The sequence below is a fragment of the Homo sapiens genome, chromosome 1, assembly GCF_000001405.40.
Source record: "Homo sapiens chromosome 1, GRCh38.p14 Primary Assembly".
Lineage (NCBI taxonomy): Eukaryota > Metazoa > Chordata > Mammalia > Primates > Hominidae > Homo > Homo sapiens.
In genome coordinates, this window is record NC_000001.11 from 232,857,988 (window position 1) to 232,873,498 (window position 15,511).

General features: G+C 43.0%; 1 long non-coding RNA gene across 5 annotated transcripts in view; it reads left to right on the top strand.

Moving 5' to 3' along the window:
• Positions 1 to 15,511, top strand: part of LOC101927711 (uncharacterized) — a 92,142-nt gene that overhangs the window by 42,659 nt on the left and 33,972 nt on the right. For all 5 annotated transcript variants that reach the window (XR_949278.3, XR_949279.4, XR_949280.3 and 2 more), the window contains one exon: positions 315 to 481. This is a non-coding gene — a long non-coding RNA (uncharacterized LOC101927711). The remainder of the gene's footprint in view (positions 1 to 314; positions 482 to 15,511) is intronic.

Genomic DNA, 15,511 nt, shown 5'->3' on the forward strand with positions numbered 1-15,511 from the left:
TATGGTGGCATGTGCCTATAATCCCAGCTACTTGGGAGGCTGAGGCAGGAGAATCGCTTGAATCCAGGAGGCGGAGGTTGCAGTGAGCCAAGATCATGTGCCACTGCACTCCAGCCTGGGCAACGGAGCAAGACTCTGTCTCAAAATAAATAAATAAATAAATAATTAAGAGCAACAGGTTAGACCATGGGCCAGCTAGCTCACCAGAGCTAGCATAAAATAAACTTTGCTTCAAGATCTTGGGATGGGACGTAGGGGTTGGAGTGGGCAGAATAACTGGATGACTTTTCCCCTCTCTAACTCTAAATTCTCAGGAAAATACATCATATCTTGCACTTGGGTGGAAAAGAGCAGAAATCCTTGGTTAACAGGATTATACGCAATGGTGCAGAAAGCATTCTCTAAAGAAAAATCAGAGAGGAAGAAACACTGCATGGAGAATCCAAGAAACACTCTAAGAATTGAAGTTAAAATGTCGGAGGTAAGAAAGTGACAATCCTTGGAGGAATATTTTTGAGCATTAAGCAGGTGAATTAGAAGAAACAGCAATGGCAAGATACAATTAGTTTTTCTTCTTTTCTTCAGAAACACTGAGTATCTATCATGTGCCATATATTGACCTGTAAATGAGGGTGTATAATGATAGCCATTTCTGGCTTGAATTCACACTTGTATGGCAAAGACTATGTGAGGTGTGTAAGCATTTTAGCTTTGCCTAATTTATCTGAAGACCCATTACTTTCCCTAGTGAGATGAACGAAGGTTTTTAACCTTTCAACTATGTGACATGGATATTTCTATTTATCTCAATGAAAATACATTTCTGGAGAATGCTAAAATTCTAGGACAATCGAAATGTAGGAAATCATTAAAAACTGAATTTTATTTTACTGCATATTGCTTATTTTCAGGTTTTGCTAAGTGAGCTTTTCTTTCTTTCCTTCTTTTCTTCTTCCTTTCTCCCTCCCTTCCCTGCTCTCCCTTCCCTGCTCTCCCTTCCCTGCTCTCCCTTCCTTCCTTTTTCTCTTTCTTTCTTCCTTCCTTCCTTCCTTTCTTCTTCCCTGCCTCCCTTCCTCCACAACTATCTACCCAATATTTGGTAAAGAAGAGCAATATTATACAGACGCTAACTACCTAGAAATCCTTCAGCCTCAGAGACAGAAGGGGTGGTGATACGTACAGTGAAGAAGACTGGACCCTTTTTAACTGAAAAAAAAAAAACAAACCAGCAGATAGGGAGAAAGAGAATGATTTTAAATCACAGTTAGCAAATAGACTCAAGAGAACAGTTGGGGTAGGAGCAGGTTATCACTCCAGAAACTTTCTTTCAAACCATTTTGAAGGGAAATGTTTGAAAATGGCAGATAAAGAGCATCAGAGTGAGGGAAGGAGGGCAAAATAGAGGATAAGTACAATCGGGGACAGTAAATTGAGCTATGAAGATTTTATCTTAACATGTAATTGAATATAGTTGAGAATAAAATGATTACTATACAATTATGTATTTCATTTCATGTTCTGTACTGAATATGCAAGCCCAGTCTTAAACTGGGGATGGAGATATGGATTGTTTAGCTCATACAAAAAATTCGAACAATTGTACCCAAATTACAATGAGATTTACAGAAAAAAAATCCCAAAGGACTGTACTTTTATAATTTTCTGCTTTTGTTCTATTGGGAAGGATTTGAGGACATGTGACAGTATTGTAGGAAATGACTTGCAATGGCACTGGGGAAGGATAATGATGTTCTGGGGTGAATGTGGCCCCTGAATGCACCGAGTCAGCCTGCTGCTCCCACACCTGGACTGCAGCTGCACCAGGGAGTCCTCAGTCCTGAAGGAAAGCCCTAAAGCAGGGGCCAGACGCCACTGAATGGTAGTAGAATCACCTGGTGGGCCTTTGCAGCTATCAATGCCTGCAGCTACTCTACACCAATTAAATAGCATCTTTGGGGATATGGACCAGGCACAGCTATTTTCTCAAACCTCCCCAGGTAATTGCAATTTCAGAAAGAGCTGAGAATTAGAAAGACTTGGGAGAAGTAGAACCACAAATGCAATTGCCTGTGGGACTGACTGGAACTGAATAGAGATAAGGTCTGTGGAAAAGGGGCCAGAGAAGATTAAACACAAGAGAGAAGGGCAAGGGAGGTTTCAGACTGAGTGACTGAGGAATGTTCACATTCTGTCCAAAGTGAGAAAGAGAGCTAAGCACTGCTTTTCCCGACACCCTGAAGCCCAGAAAGACAGCACAGGGCCCTGGATACTGTTAGAATTCCTTGAGCAAGGGAATCCTTAAGAAACTTGGAAATACAGTGGACAGTGGTTCCTCCAGACAAAGAACTTGAGTCTTATCACTTCAAAGAACTCCACATATCCAATAGCAAGAAAAGCTTTGAAGAGCAAGATTTCTCCACAGCATAGAGGTGGCTGCTGGGCAGAGCCAACTCTGTTCTTCCTGGAGGAGGTGTGAGCAAGGTAGTGGAGCGAACGGCCCCAAGCGTTAAGCTTTTAGTAAGAAAACAGACCCCAGAGGCTGCAATCTTCAAAAGGCATCTGTGAACTCAACATGGCATTTCAAATAGAGCTGCCAAGTCAATCACAGGACACCTGGGTAAATTCGTATTTCACATAAACAATGAAGAGCATTTTATAATTGTATGGGATATACTTATATTAAAACCTTATTCATTGTTTATCTTAAATTCAAATTTAACTGGGCATCCTGTGCTTTTATTACTAAACCTGGCAACTCTTACTCCCAGTGAGTTTTTAGTAATTTCTAAAATATTTCTGGAAAGTGGGAAATGGCCAAGTCCTGGAACCGGACCCACCTGAGCACCCAGATGAGAGGGACCAGCTGAAAGTGCTGTGAAGTGGTGGTATGATGGGAAAGCAAAGTGTCCAGTCAATACAGCCATCCATGCTCAGTGCGAGCAAAGGGTTCAAAATGGCGACAGAAAGACATAATAATGTCTTCCAATAAGAAGTTCTTACAAAGGGAGGGTGCTCTGGAGTGTGCAGTACACAGTCTTTTTGAATGATAGTCAGTGTAGCAGACATCTGTCTATAGGCTGCAGGGCTCTTGTCCCAGAAAGGGGACAGAGATGATATAAGTAGAAACCCAGAATCAGCAGTGTGCTGGGATCCTAGACCAGAACCTAGAAGTAATGCCCAGGAGGGAAGCTTGATTAGAGAAACGGAGTTACCACATCAGGTCAAAGTAGCAGCAACAGCAACAACAAACGTTATGTGTATGCATGGGTGTGTCATGCATGTATGAGTGTGTCTGTGTGTATATATATGTGTGTGTGTATATGTGCATATCCTTTGAATATCACCTTTGGAACTGGCCTAATGCCTCCTGCCTCAGACCAAAATTGATTCCAGGGACAAAGCACATTGCTGAGCCTGCAGTGAGAATTACCTGGTTCCAGCCATGGGGGAGAGAACATTCGCAAAGGCAGGATGGAGACCTGCGGCCTAAGCTGGCTGGCAGAATCTCTATAGGGTTTGTGGGCATCTTCACAAACAGGCTGGATAAACTGTCATGATTCTTATTTGGCAGTTTATACAGTGGCAAATTGATTTTTTGTTTCTCATGGCTATCCACTGAAAATGCCCAGGGATGCTCAAGGATAACAGAAGAATGTGTGAAATCACTGACTCCTAAGCCTTGTTCTAATGATGATTGGTGACTGCTGGGCAGAGCTGTTGTCGTGCAGAATGGCACAAGGTTGATTTTGCTTAAACAAGCCAGGGAATATACCTAGATGGCCAATCAAGGAATTTTCTATGTGAGAATGTTATTCTAAAAGCCTAATCTCTGTTTGATTTATAATTGTTAAAGATTTCCAGTAGCACAAGAATCCTGTTCTCTCTACATTGAATGCAGGTTCTTCTCATTGGCCATACCTGTAGAAGTGTCAGAGGTTCAACTCAGAAATAGTGAAAACTGGATTTTAACAACACTGTATGGTCTTTTAAACTTTCGTTTGCAAATATTTAAGCAACAATTTCCTTCTTGGTGCTCCGTGAAGCTGGAATAGAACTGAGAGTTCGTGCTTTGTTCAGTTGTGTATAAAATGTAGTAAGGTCACAGTCATTTAGGAAGCAACCCTGGGGCCTCTAAAAACTACTAGGCCGCGCGTAGTGGCTCACACCAGTAATTTCAGCACTCTGGGAGGCTGAGGTGGGCAGGTTGCATGAGTCCAGGAGTTTGAGACCGCCCTGGGCAACATAGATAAACCCCGACTCTACTAAAAATACAAAAAATTAACCAAGTGTGGTAGTGTACGCCTGTAATCACAGCTACTCGAGGAGTTGGGGTGGGATAATCACCTGAGCCCAGGCGGTCGAGGCTACAGTGAGCCGAGATTGTGCCATTGCACTCCAGCCTGGGCAACCAGAGTGAGAACATGTCTAAAAAAGAAAACTCTGGGTGTGGTGGCTCATGCCTGTAATCCTAGCACTTTGGGAGGCCGAGGCAGGAGGATTGCCTGAGCTCAGGGGTTCGAGACTAGCCTGGGAAACACGTTGAAACCCCGTCTCTACTAAAATACAAAAATTTAGCCAGGCGTGGCAGTGTGTGCCTGTAGTCCTAGCTTACTCGGGAGGCTGAGGCAGGAGAATTGCTTTAAGCCAGGAGACAGAGGTTGCACAGTGAGCTGAGATCGTGCCACTGCACTCCAGCCTGGGCAACAGAGCAAGACTGTCTCCAAAAAAAAAAAAAAATTAAAAATTACCCAGGCTTAGTGATGCATGCCTGTAGTCCCAGCTACTCAGGAGGCTGAGGTGGGAGGATTGGTCAAGCTCGAGGCTGCAGTGCGCTGTGATTGCGCCACTGCACTCAGCCTGGGTGACAGAGTGAAACCCTGTCTCAAAGACAAAAAAAAACGAAACCAACCAACAAACTCCACCACCACCAACACAACTCTACTATTTGTGAAGGCTTTTAAGCTGTGTTTGCATCACCCTCCCAAACAGCTCATTTCAATATAAATGATCACTTGGAAGGATCAGTCAAGTTAATTTAACGGCTTGATTTAAATGTACAACAATCAATGAACTGATTTGAAGTTGTATGCTCAGTGAAATGTCTTGAATAGGGCTTTGACTTCCATCAAAGTTTGGCTTTGTAATGCAATAGAATGGTATTGATTATGTTAGATCTTATTAGCAACTTTTGATATCTTTGACCTCCAGTTAGATAGTTAAACATTAGAAATCTGCCTGAATTAAGTACTAAACATGGATAAATTTTGTTCTAAAGTAGTTTCTATCTTTAAGAAGGTACAGAATGGCATAGTTCTGTTCTTCTTATAATTAATAAGAATTAAATGATCGACTGGTTTCTGAAGTTGGATGCTGGATCTATCACAACCTCCTTGAGTATAAGCTAGCAGAATGGCTAGGTAGCAAAGGACCGTAAAAGGGATGCTTGTCATCCGGGCAAAGGTGGCCTTAGAATTAAGAAAGTCTTTGAGTTCCCTTATCTTTTCTCTCACCTTTCTAGTATATACCCAAAGACAAATGTACAGATTATTTTTACTGTTTTTATAATTGAAATACAAAAAAAGAGAAAATTCTGGCAACTTCAGAAACCACCTTGTTAGTTTATTGTGGGTATCCATCATTGTATAAACCAATTTAATAGGGTGCTATGGTTGCCAAAGAGTCTGATCTCCAGATTTTCTCAGCACTTCCCATCTGCTCACACAATAGCCAGAAGACGTTTGCTTTCCTGGAGATAGCATAATGCTTTAAAACTGCCTGAAGAAATCTACCCACCCAAGCTGTTTTAATAAGGTTAAGTGTGTAAAATATTCATCCCACAGGATATATGCCCATATGCCGTCTTATCATTAGTCATAAAAAACAAACACTTAATTATTCCGATCTCTAAGGTCCATCTTTGTGGTTAGGCTCCGAGGGACTCCATGAACCAGGGGGTCTTATTTATCAGTGACAGTGTCTCTATCCAGACTTACTCCATGTTGTCATGGTATTTTATTTGTCTAGCCATCTTGTAAATGCTTATTCCTTGCTGTCAACCATCTCAACATGCTTGGAGGCAGATGGGCCCCTGGCACTCTCCATGGTATTCTTCACATCTCCTCTTGGGCTGTCATATGCTCTCAAACACGCATAGGGAACGCTGAAATTTTGCTCTTTCTTCTAGAGAGTCTAGAGAGCCAGGAAGGAAGTTGTTGCTTACAGACCTGCAATAAGAAGACCATAAACTGTGTCGGGCGCGGTGGCTCACGCCTGTAATCCCAACACTTTGGGAGGCCAAGGCAGGCAGATCACAAGGTCAGGAGTTCAAGACCAGCCTGGCCAACATGAGGAAACCCCATTTCTACTAAAAATACACAAATTAGCTGGGCATGGTGGCCGGTGCCTATAATCCCTGCTACTCGGGAAGCAGAGGCAGGAGAATCGTTTGAACCCGGGAGGCAGAGATTGTAGTGAGCTGAGGTCACGCCATCGTACTCCAGCCTGGGCGACAGGCTGAGACTCTGTCTCAAAAAAAAAAAAAAAAAAAGAAGACCATAAACTGTTGCTTGGAATCCTACTTCCTCGGGCCTCTGAAAGACCCTCCGGTGATATTTCCCTTATGTCCTTATTCACAGTCATCACCCACATTAGGCACTGAATGGAGAGAGAATAGGTGCATGTATCATTAAGATTACATTTTCCCAGAGGCAAAGTTGTCTGCACTTTCTTTTTGCAGTAATTTTAAATCAGCATGCATTTCAAATAGTACATGTATATTTCTACAGCAGACATCTTTATATACCTAGTTAGGTATAATAAAACTATTAGATACCTATTTATATCTTAAATAAAATATATTTATTATTATATATCTATTTAAATTACCTATTAGATACTTTAATATACTATTTATCTATTTTGATCTACTGAATGTATTATTATATACCTATTTATATACCTAGATACCTATTTAAGTGTCTATCTATATTTGTATCTATACATATAGATCTCAAATGATGCCTACCTAAACATTAAAAGCAGTTCTCTCTAGGTGGTATAATTATAGATGGATTTCATTTCCTCCTATCGGCTTTTTGGTAGTTTTAAATTTTTCAACCAAAAATATGCTTTACTTGTGTAATGATGAAAAAAAATGTTAAAACAACCCTTTCTAAACTAAAAACAGGATCTTTATGTGAGTGTAAATGATGTATGACTACCCCAATTATAAAAGCCATGGAAATCCAAAGATAGCCTCACGTCTGTCTCTCCCACAGAATGTACATCAGCAATGCACGCATGTGTTCCTTTTGCGCCGCATCACTGCTTCCCTGAAGAAGCCCGGCTCACACCACAAGGACAACAACAAGCACGCAGGAGAGAGTAGACTGGGGTCAGACAGAGCAATTGCAATCTTCCACTTTGATTTCCTGAGAACATAGTGGTGGGCAGAAACGTGCTATCAAAAAAGAGAGTAGGAAGAAACTAATGTTAGTAAGTGCCTATTTACAGCCTGGGGATTGGATGTGTTTGTTGTATCCTTTTTTCTTTATAATCTGGCATCACTCCTGTTTTGCAGATAAGGAAACTGAGGCTTGGAGAGGTAGATAACTCACTCATTGTGACTCACTAACCTGTTGCAGAGCCAGCACTTGAACTGATTCTAAAAATTGCCACTCTTCCCACTCTACCTCATTGTGTTATGTTTTCCAACTTCTAGAGAAGATAAGGCAGATCCATGCGACACAGACACATGTCAGCCACCTGTGACCACACTGCTTCTCTAGTGCTTTCCTACCGTGGGAGATAAACACCCCCCAGACTCTATCTAAGGCTATGCTTTCATGAGCCTTTTGCTTGCAGACTCACCCAATTAACAAAATTCTTTTGGACTTTTGATAATAAAACCTGTGCATGGAAGATTGAGGTTTTGACATCTACCATAGTACAGTATGTGCTAACTAGGTCACCATCAGTAAAAATTGCCATTTGAAGTGTCACAAAATCTTGCCATGAAATCACTCATGAATCCTTCTAATCCTCCTTTCTTGACCCTGATTGATTACAACTGGAATGAGTAAGTATGGGAGGAATCTTTGATCCACTTTCCAATTGGCCAACTAATTTTGACTTGTACCTTGAATGTGACACTTGACTTGGAAGGATCCCTAAAAACAGGCTGGTCCTACCTCCTAGGCTACGCCCGGAGGAAGACTGTTAGGGCGACTGAGGCATGTGGTAGGAGCTCTCCATGGGTTTGGGAATCCTCTCTTTTTTCCACCTGCAACCTACTTTCCAGCAGCCGCCACTCAACATTGACAGAGGACAGACTCTAATACTGTCTCTTCTCATGTTTGAAGCTCCAATTATCATCTCTTCTCCAGGCAAAACTTGTAGTTACTTGAAGCCTATATAAGATTGAGTGTTTATTATGTGTTTTCCTTGTATTCTCTCTCTCCATTCTCACACATCTTATGGAGAAGGCACCATGGCTTCCAGGCCCCTCTCCATCCTGGTCAGCCTTGTTTAACCATGTTATAATTTGACAAAAGTATCTTAATACATGGGGCCTGTCATCTAAAGTTAATCAAGTAAAAGGTTATTAATCTCACCTGTTTCCCTTCAATTTCATCCTTTCACAATGGTATGTCTATAAATCTCCCTCTGTTCCTGTCTCTTTCCCTCCCTCCCTCTCTCTCTCTTTTTCTGCCTCTTTTGCCCAAAGTGTAACGTATTCCACATGCACAATATGGAAGTGTTCTTTTTTCACTAAACATATATCATGGATTTTCCTCTTGGTTAATGTATACAGATCTATTTTCAGAAGCTGAACAACAGCCATTATTTGGATGTAACATAATTAACCATTTTCTTCTTGAGGAATATTCCGGTTGTTTCTTTTTCTTTTTCTTTCCTTGTGTGTGTGTGTATGTACACTTTACCTTCCCTCCTTTTTTCATTCCTTCTGTCAACTGAAAAATCACACAATGTATACATTTAGAAAGGAGGCTTTATTTTTTATAAAGGCTTAGAGCCTGCAGGGTCCTGACAGGCTGGGAGGTGTAGCCTCCGGTAGAGGCCATGAGCAAGCACTGTGAAGGCGGAAAGGCGAGACAGGAAGGTATGCCACAGAGAGTTCATTCTGTCAGTCCTATGATCTCTATGTTAACATTAATTCTGGGCTGTTGTGGCTAAACTGCAAAAGGAAAGGTGCTTAATGAGGCCTGCCTGACCTCCCACCCCATCATGTTTTTAAGATTTTTCCGGGGTCCCCTTGGCCAAGAGAGGGTCTGTCCAGTTGGTTGAGCGGCTTAAGATTTTATTTGTAGTTCTCACTTTCTTCCCTGTCCCCCTATTCCCTCTTTCTTTCTTGAAACTCAATATATAAAGTTGCAATAAGCATCTAGCTCTTTTCCTTTTGTCTTTTGGCACTGTTATTTCTATAACATACACAAATACTGCCAAGAAGCCAAAGTTTGTACCTCCTTCACCAACGTAAGCAGGTACTAATTTTTTCTACAACCTTAACAGTGACAGACATTATTACAAATTTTAAATTTTACCTAGTAGTTTTTTAAAGTTTGCCAATTTTTTATTGCATTATTTGTCCTTTTTGCATCAATATTTAGAAGGCTTTGACTATGAAGAATATTAACTGTTTGGTTGCCATATGTGTGTTCAATAATTTTTCCTACTATTTGATTTCTGGCATTATCTATGATATCTTTCATTATACAGAATATTTTAAATTCATATAGTTATATATGTCCTATATTTTCTTTATAAATCTTGAATTTCCTGTCATGTGTAAGAATGTTTTACTCATCCCAGGGTTATACAAATATTTGCCTACATTTTCTGATACTTTTATTGGTCAATTGCTGCATTTAGATCTTTCATTTATCTTAGGTTTGTTTTTGCACATGGAGTGAAATTGAAATCTACTGTATTTTATTCCTGACAGATAAACAATTAAACATCTTTTTTCTCACTGCAAATAATGTCACATTGATTATATATTCTTGGTATTCTTTCTTGTCTTTCTGTTCTAGTTCATTGATCTAATCATCCATTTCTTTGTCAACCCCTTACTATTTTGATTAGGGTTATTATAGTTTTATCTGGTAAGGCATGTTCCCCACCCCTCCAAACTAGTTCCAGAAAACACCAAATGCATTGGCATTCCGATTGAGATTACCTTCAAAATACAAATTCATTAAGGGAGATTGTTTTTCAATGGTAAGTTCTCCCATTGGGCACGAGGTAAACTTCCCAGTTCATTTTGGCTCTGGTTTTGTGCCTTTCAATGAGATTTTATAGCTTGCTTCAATGGGTTCTGCCCCCTCTTGCTAAATTTTAAAACTATATATAAAATTAAAACAGCTTTTTGAGATTCTGTTCAAGATTCTAAACTCTCTTCTTTACACTAGTGCCTCTTAAAACCACCTTCATTGGAATCACATTGTAAAACACTTATAAAAATGTATATTCTGGCTGGGCGCAGTGGCTCACGCCTGTAATCCCAGCACTTTGGGAGGCCAAGGCAGGCGGATCCTGAGGTCAAGAGATCGAGACCATGCTGGACAACATGGAGAAACCCCGTCTCTACTAAAAATACAAAAATTAGCTGGCGCACGCCTGTAGTCCTAGCTACTCAGGAGGCTGAGGCAGGAGAATCACTTGAACCCGGAAGGCAGATGTTGGCAACAGAGTGAGACCCCGTCTCAAAAAAACAAAAAAGTATGTTCCTATGTCCCCCAAAACTTAAGTCAAAATCTCTGGGTGTGCCCTAGAAACCTGCATTTAAATGAATTCTTACAGGTGTCACCTGTGTACACTGAAGGCCGAGGGCATTGCTTTGTCTACTTTACCCAAATAAGACCAAACATGCAACCTCTCCACACTTCCCTGTTTAACTGAGTTGGAATAGATCAGTTTCCAACACCTTCTCCCACTTGAACTTTTGAACAACCCCATCCCACTGCTTTGGGGGCCATGAGAACTGATGTGTGCCTCTCAGGAGGAGCATACCAGCATCTGTCAGGATACATTTTTAAAATGAGCTGATAATGCCTAAGACCATCATTGTTGATTCTGGCAAGGCTTCAAATAGCAGCAACCAGCAAATATTTCGCCCTTCCCGTGGTTTCTGGCAGTGTTGCAGCTGTTGCCTCATCTAGTGAACATGCCGGGCCTAAGGGCAAACAGACACTTAATTAGGTTAGGGTGAGCTTCAAAAACTCGAGAGTAGGCATAGCAGTAATGACCACCACACTTTCTCACTAAGAATACTCAATGCGTGCAAAGAAATAATTATCCCAAGAAGCCATGGTTTCTTTCCTCTACCCCCCACCTTTTTTGGCTGTTTTATTTGAGATCCATGACCTGATAGAATTACTCATTCAAAGAATGCAGTGGTGTTCAATCACACAATAGGAGCCATGCTCTATGAAATACCTGAAAGCCAGTGTTGGTCTTTAGATGTGAGTTTCAGCATGAGCTGAGTTTCAACAACGCTTGGTATCAACAGCAGAGTCCTATTAACAGAAGAAAAACAGTCCAATCCTGGCCTGACAGAAAAATCAAGGTGAACATGCTCTTTTTCTTCTTTTTTTTGAGACAGAGTCTCTCTCTGTTGCCCAGGCTGGAGTGCTGTGGTGCAATCTCGGCTTACTGCAATCTCCGCCTCCCGGGTTCAAGCAATTCTCTGCCTCAGCCTCCTGAGTAGCTGGGATTATAGGCACCTGCCATCATGCCTGGCTAATTTTGGTATTTTTAGTAGAGATGGGGTTTCACCATCTTGGCCAGGCTGGTCTTGAACTCCTGACCTCGTGATCCACCCGCCTCGGCCTCCCAAAGTGCTGGGATTACAGGCATGAGCCACTGCCCCTGGCCCAAAGTGAACATGCTCTAACCAAAAAGAGACTCAGTTTTCTTAAAAAATTCATGCTTGGTTGGTCAGACCATGCCCAGTGGGACCATTGTGGACATTTTCAACATAGTTGACTATATATTTTATTGATTGTTGTTGTACAAAATGACAACCATCTGCTACCTAGAAGCAAGGATCTCATATGGTCAAGCTGGAATTCAGGGGGCATCTTTTGTCTTTTGAGACTGACCAGAGCAGCAGTACTTCTTTCTGTCCTTCATCTCAGTCACAGACTGAGGGGACCGCTGGTCCATCAAGGGCCAGAGGAAACTAGATCACAAATGCACATGTGTGCACATACATATTCATCTATTCTAGCCTCCATTTATTTGGTTGTCTCATTGCCTATGCTATTTCTTATTTCATTGTGGTGTGTGTGTGTGTGTGTGTGTGTGTGTGTGTGTGTGTGTGTTATGCTGTTATGATGGCTTTGTGGTTTGTCAATTCAGCTAGGCTAGGGTACATTCCCCAGAATTTCCCAGTATGTGAGAGGGGTGGGCTATACCAGATACTCTCTCATAAAGGGTGGAAGGGAAGACGCAGGCATTCTGTAGCATGCACGCACTTTCTCCTAGGTGCTTCTGTGAAGAGACTTCACAGATATAAATAAAGTCCTTAATCAGTTGACTTTAAATTAGGGAGATTATCTTGGGTGGATTTTAATCAATTGAAATGCCTTAAAAGAGGACATATGTCTTTCTGTGTCCGGAATTGGTGGGTTCTTGGTCTCACTGACTTCAAGAATGAAGCCGCGGACCCTCGCGGTGAGTGTTAACAGCTCTTAAGGTGGCGCGTCTGGAGTCTGTCCCTTCTGATGTTCAGATGTGTTCGGAGTTTCTTCCTTCTGGTGGCTTCGTGGTCTCGCTGGCTCAGGAGTGAAGCTGCAGACCTTCGCGGTGAGTGTTACAGCTCTTAAGGCAGCGTGTCTGGAGTTGTTCGTTCCTCCCGGTGGGCTCGTGGTCTCACTGGGCTCAGGAGTGAAGCTGCAGATCTTCACAGTGAGTGTTACAGCTCATAAAAGCAGCGTGGACCCAAAGAGCGAGCAGTAGCAAGATTTATTGCAAAGAGCGAAAGAACAAAGCTTCCACATTGTATAAGGGGACCCGAGCGGGTTGCCAATGCCGGCTCGGGCAGCCTGCTTTTATTCTCTTATCTGGCCCCACCCACATCCTGCTGACTGGTAGAGCCCAGTGGCCTGTTTTGTCAGGGCGCTGATTGGTGTGTTTACAATCCCTGAGCTAGATACGAAGATTCTCCATGTCCCCATCAGATTAGTTAGATACAGAGTTTCGACACACAGGTTCTCCAAGGCCCCACCAGAGCAGCTAGATACAGAGTGTCAATTGGTGCATTCACAAACCTTGAGCTAAACACAGGGTGCTGATTGGTGTATTTACAATCCCTGAGCTAGATATAAAGACTCTCCACGTCCTCACCAGAGTCAGGAGCCCAGCTGGCTTCACCCAGTGGATCCCGCACCGGGGCTGCAGGTGGAGCTGCCTGCCAGTCCTGCGCCGTGCGCTCGCGTTCCTCAGCCCTTGGGTGGTCGATGGGACTGGGTGCCGTGGAGCAGGGGGTGGTGCTCGTCGGGGAGGCTCGGGCCACACAGGAGCCCATGGAGTGAGTGGGAGACTCAGGCATGGCGGGCTTCAGGTCCCGAGCCCTGCCCCGCGGGAAGGCAGCTAAGGCCCAGCGAGAAATCGAGCACAGTGCCGGTGGGCTGGCACTGCTGGGGGACCCAGTACACCCTCCGCAGCTACTGGCCCGGGTGCTAAGTTCCCCATTGCCTGGGGCCAGCAGGGCTGGCTGGCTGCTCTGAGCGCGGGGCCCACCAAGCCCACGCCCACCCGGAACTCCAGCTGGCCCGCAAGCGCCGCACGCAGCCCGGTTCCCGCTCGTGCCTCTCCCTCCACACCTCCCTGCAAGCTGAGGGAGTGGGCTCCGGCCTTGGCCAGCCCAGAAAGGGGCTCCCACAGTGCAGTGGGGGGGCTGAAGGGCTCTCAAATGCTGCCAAAGTGGGAGCCCAGGCAGAGGAGGTGCCAAGAGCAAGTGAGGGCTCTGAGGACTGCCAGCACGCTGTCACCTCTCATTTCCTGGAAAGAGAGCAAGCAGTTCCTCTCTGTGGACAGTAGTTTTAGTCCATGCATGTGGTGTGTGTGCATTGTTTTTGTTTGTGCGTCTGGGGGGGGGGGTGTTGTGTTTGTATGTGATATATGTATTGTATGGTATGAGTATGCTGTTTGTGTATATGTGTCGTGTCTGGGGGGTGTGTGTGGTGTATATGCGCATGCACACTTCACCCTGCACACTAGACCAGAAATAAAACCAGGTTCATTTTCAAGACCTATTCCAGATTGAGCCCAAGGCCTTCCTGGTTCATTCTCAAACTGGGTTTTAGTGAGAGATACCAACATAAAATTGGGGTTGCTTGACCCGATATATCGTTATTCATCTGATGTCCAATTTATCAGTTGCTCAATTTTCCAGTCATTGTGGCATAAAATGCAAAACTATTCATGCAGAAACATTCACTGAATTCAACAGATCTTGGAATATTTGATCCCCTCAGGCCATCACCTGTCACAGATACGACAGATACATTAGGCTGTTTGCAAGTGAGAGAATTATATAGCATTTTAAAAATACCAAGAGAGGATCAAGTTTGTCAGGAATAAATTTTGTGTAATAACTTCTATGAAGAGAAGCTGATGTGTTCAATGGAGATTGACAAAGGAAGCCTAAATTGAAGGGGAAGCCTGACAAAATGACGGGCAGTTGCCCAGTCTATTCTGGAGAATAAGCAGGCCACTGCTCCTAGAATGGCAGCCTGCAGGACTGAGTGGACTGTGAACCTCCAAGAAGATACCCAGGCTGCTCTCTGTGCCTGCTGGAGCTTGCCACTGGAATGAGAGTCTCTGTTCTTTGTCTCTCTAAATACGTAAAGGAAGGGCTCTGTCTTCCATGACAGCTGACCACACAACAGGGTCATCTTTTCCAGACCAGTAAGATAATGTTGGCAGAAGGTTTTAGTCTCTTAAGAACAAAAGTGATGTGCATATGTAGGAATGGATTAACAACCACGGGGAGCGGATCCCTGCTTCTCAGATCTAACTCATTAAATATCGTGATGTAACTGCTGGCTCCCACTAATAAAACACAGATCCCAGTCAACACAGCCTAATAAGATAATCCTTTCTATTATGATAATATCTTTGAAATGAGTTTTTAATTATTATTTTTACAAAGCATCTGCAGGTGTTTAGCCTATCACGTTGGCCCATTAGCTGAGCAATCCCAAACTGAGATTTTATTATTCTTATTACTACTATTTTTGCTAGAGGATATAGCGCCTTCTTCATTAACTGTAGATCATTTCAACAAGGAATTCTTTTGACTGTATTTAAGTGCAGAGTTTTCTTTTTGCCCCCTTCCTCTTTTCCTAGCTTAAGCCAAAATTTTTAAATATGCAAATAAGACTGCCTCCCCCACCCTACATTAATAGCTGTATCCTCAAATAGTGTCTCTGCTCGTGCCTGTTGAGGCAGCTCTCTGGGCCATTACCCTAGAAGCATGCTGCCG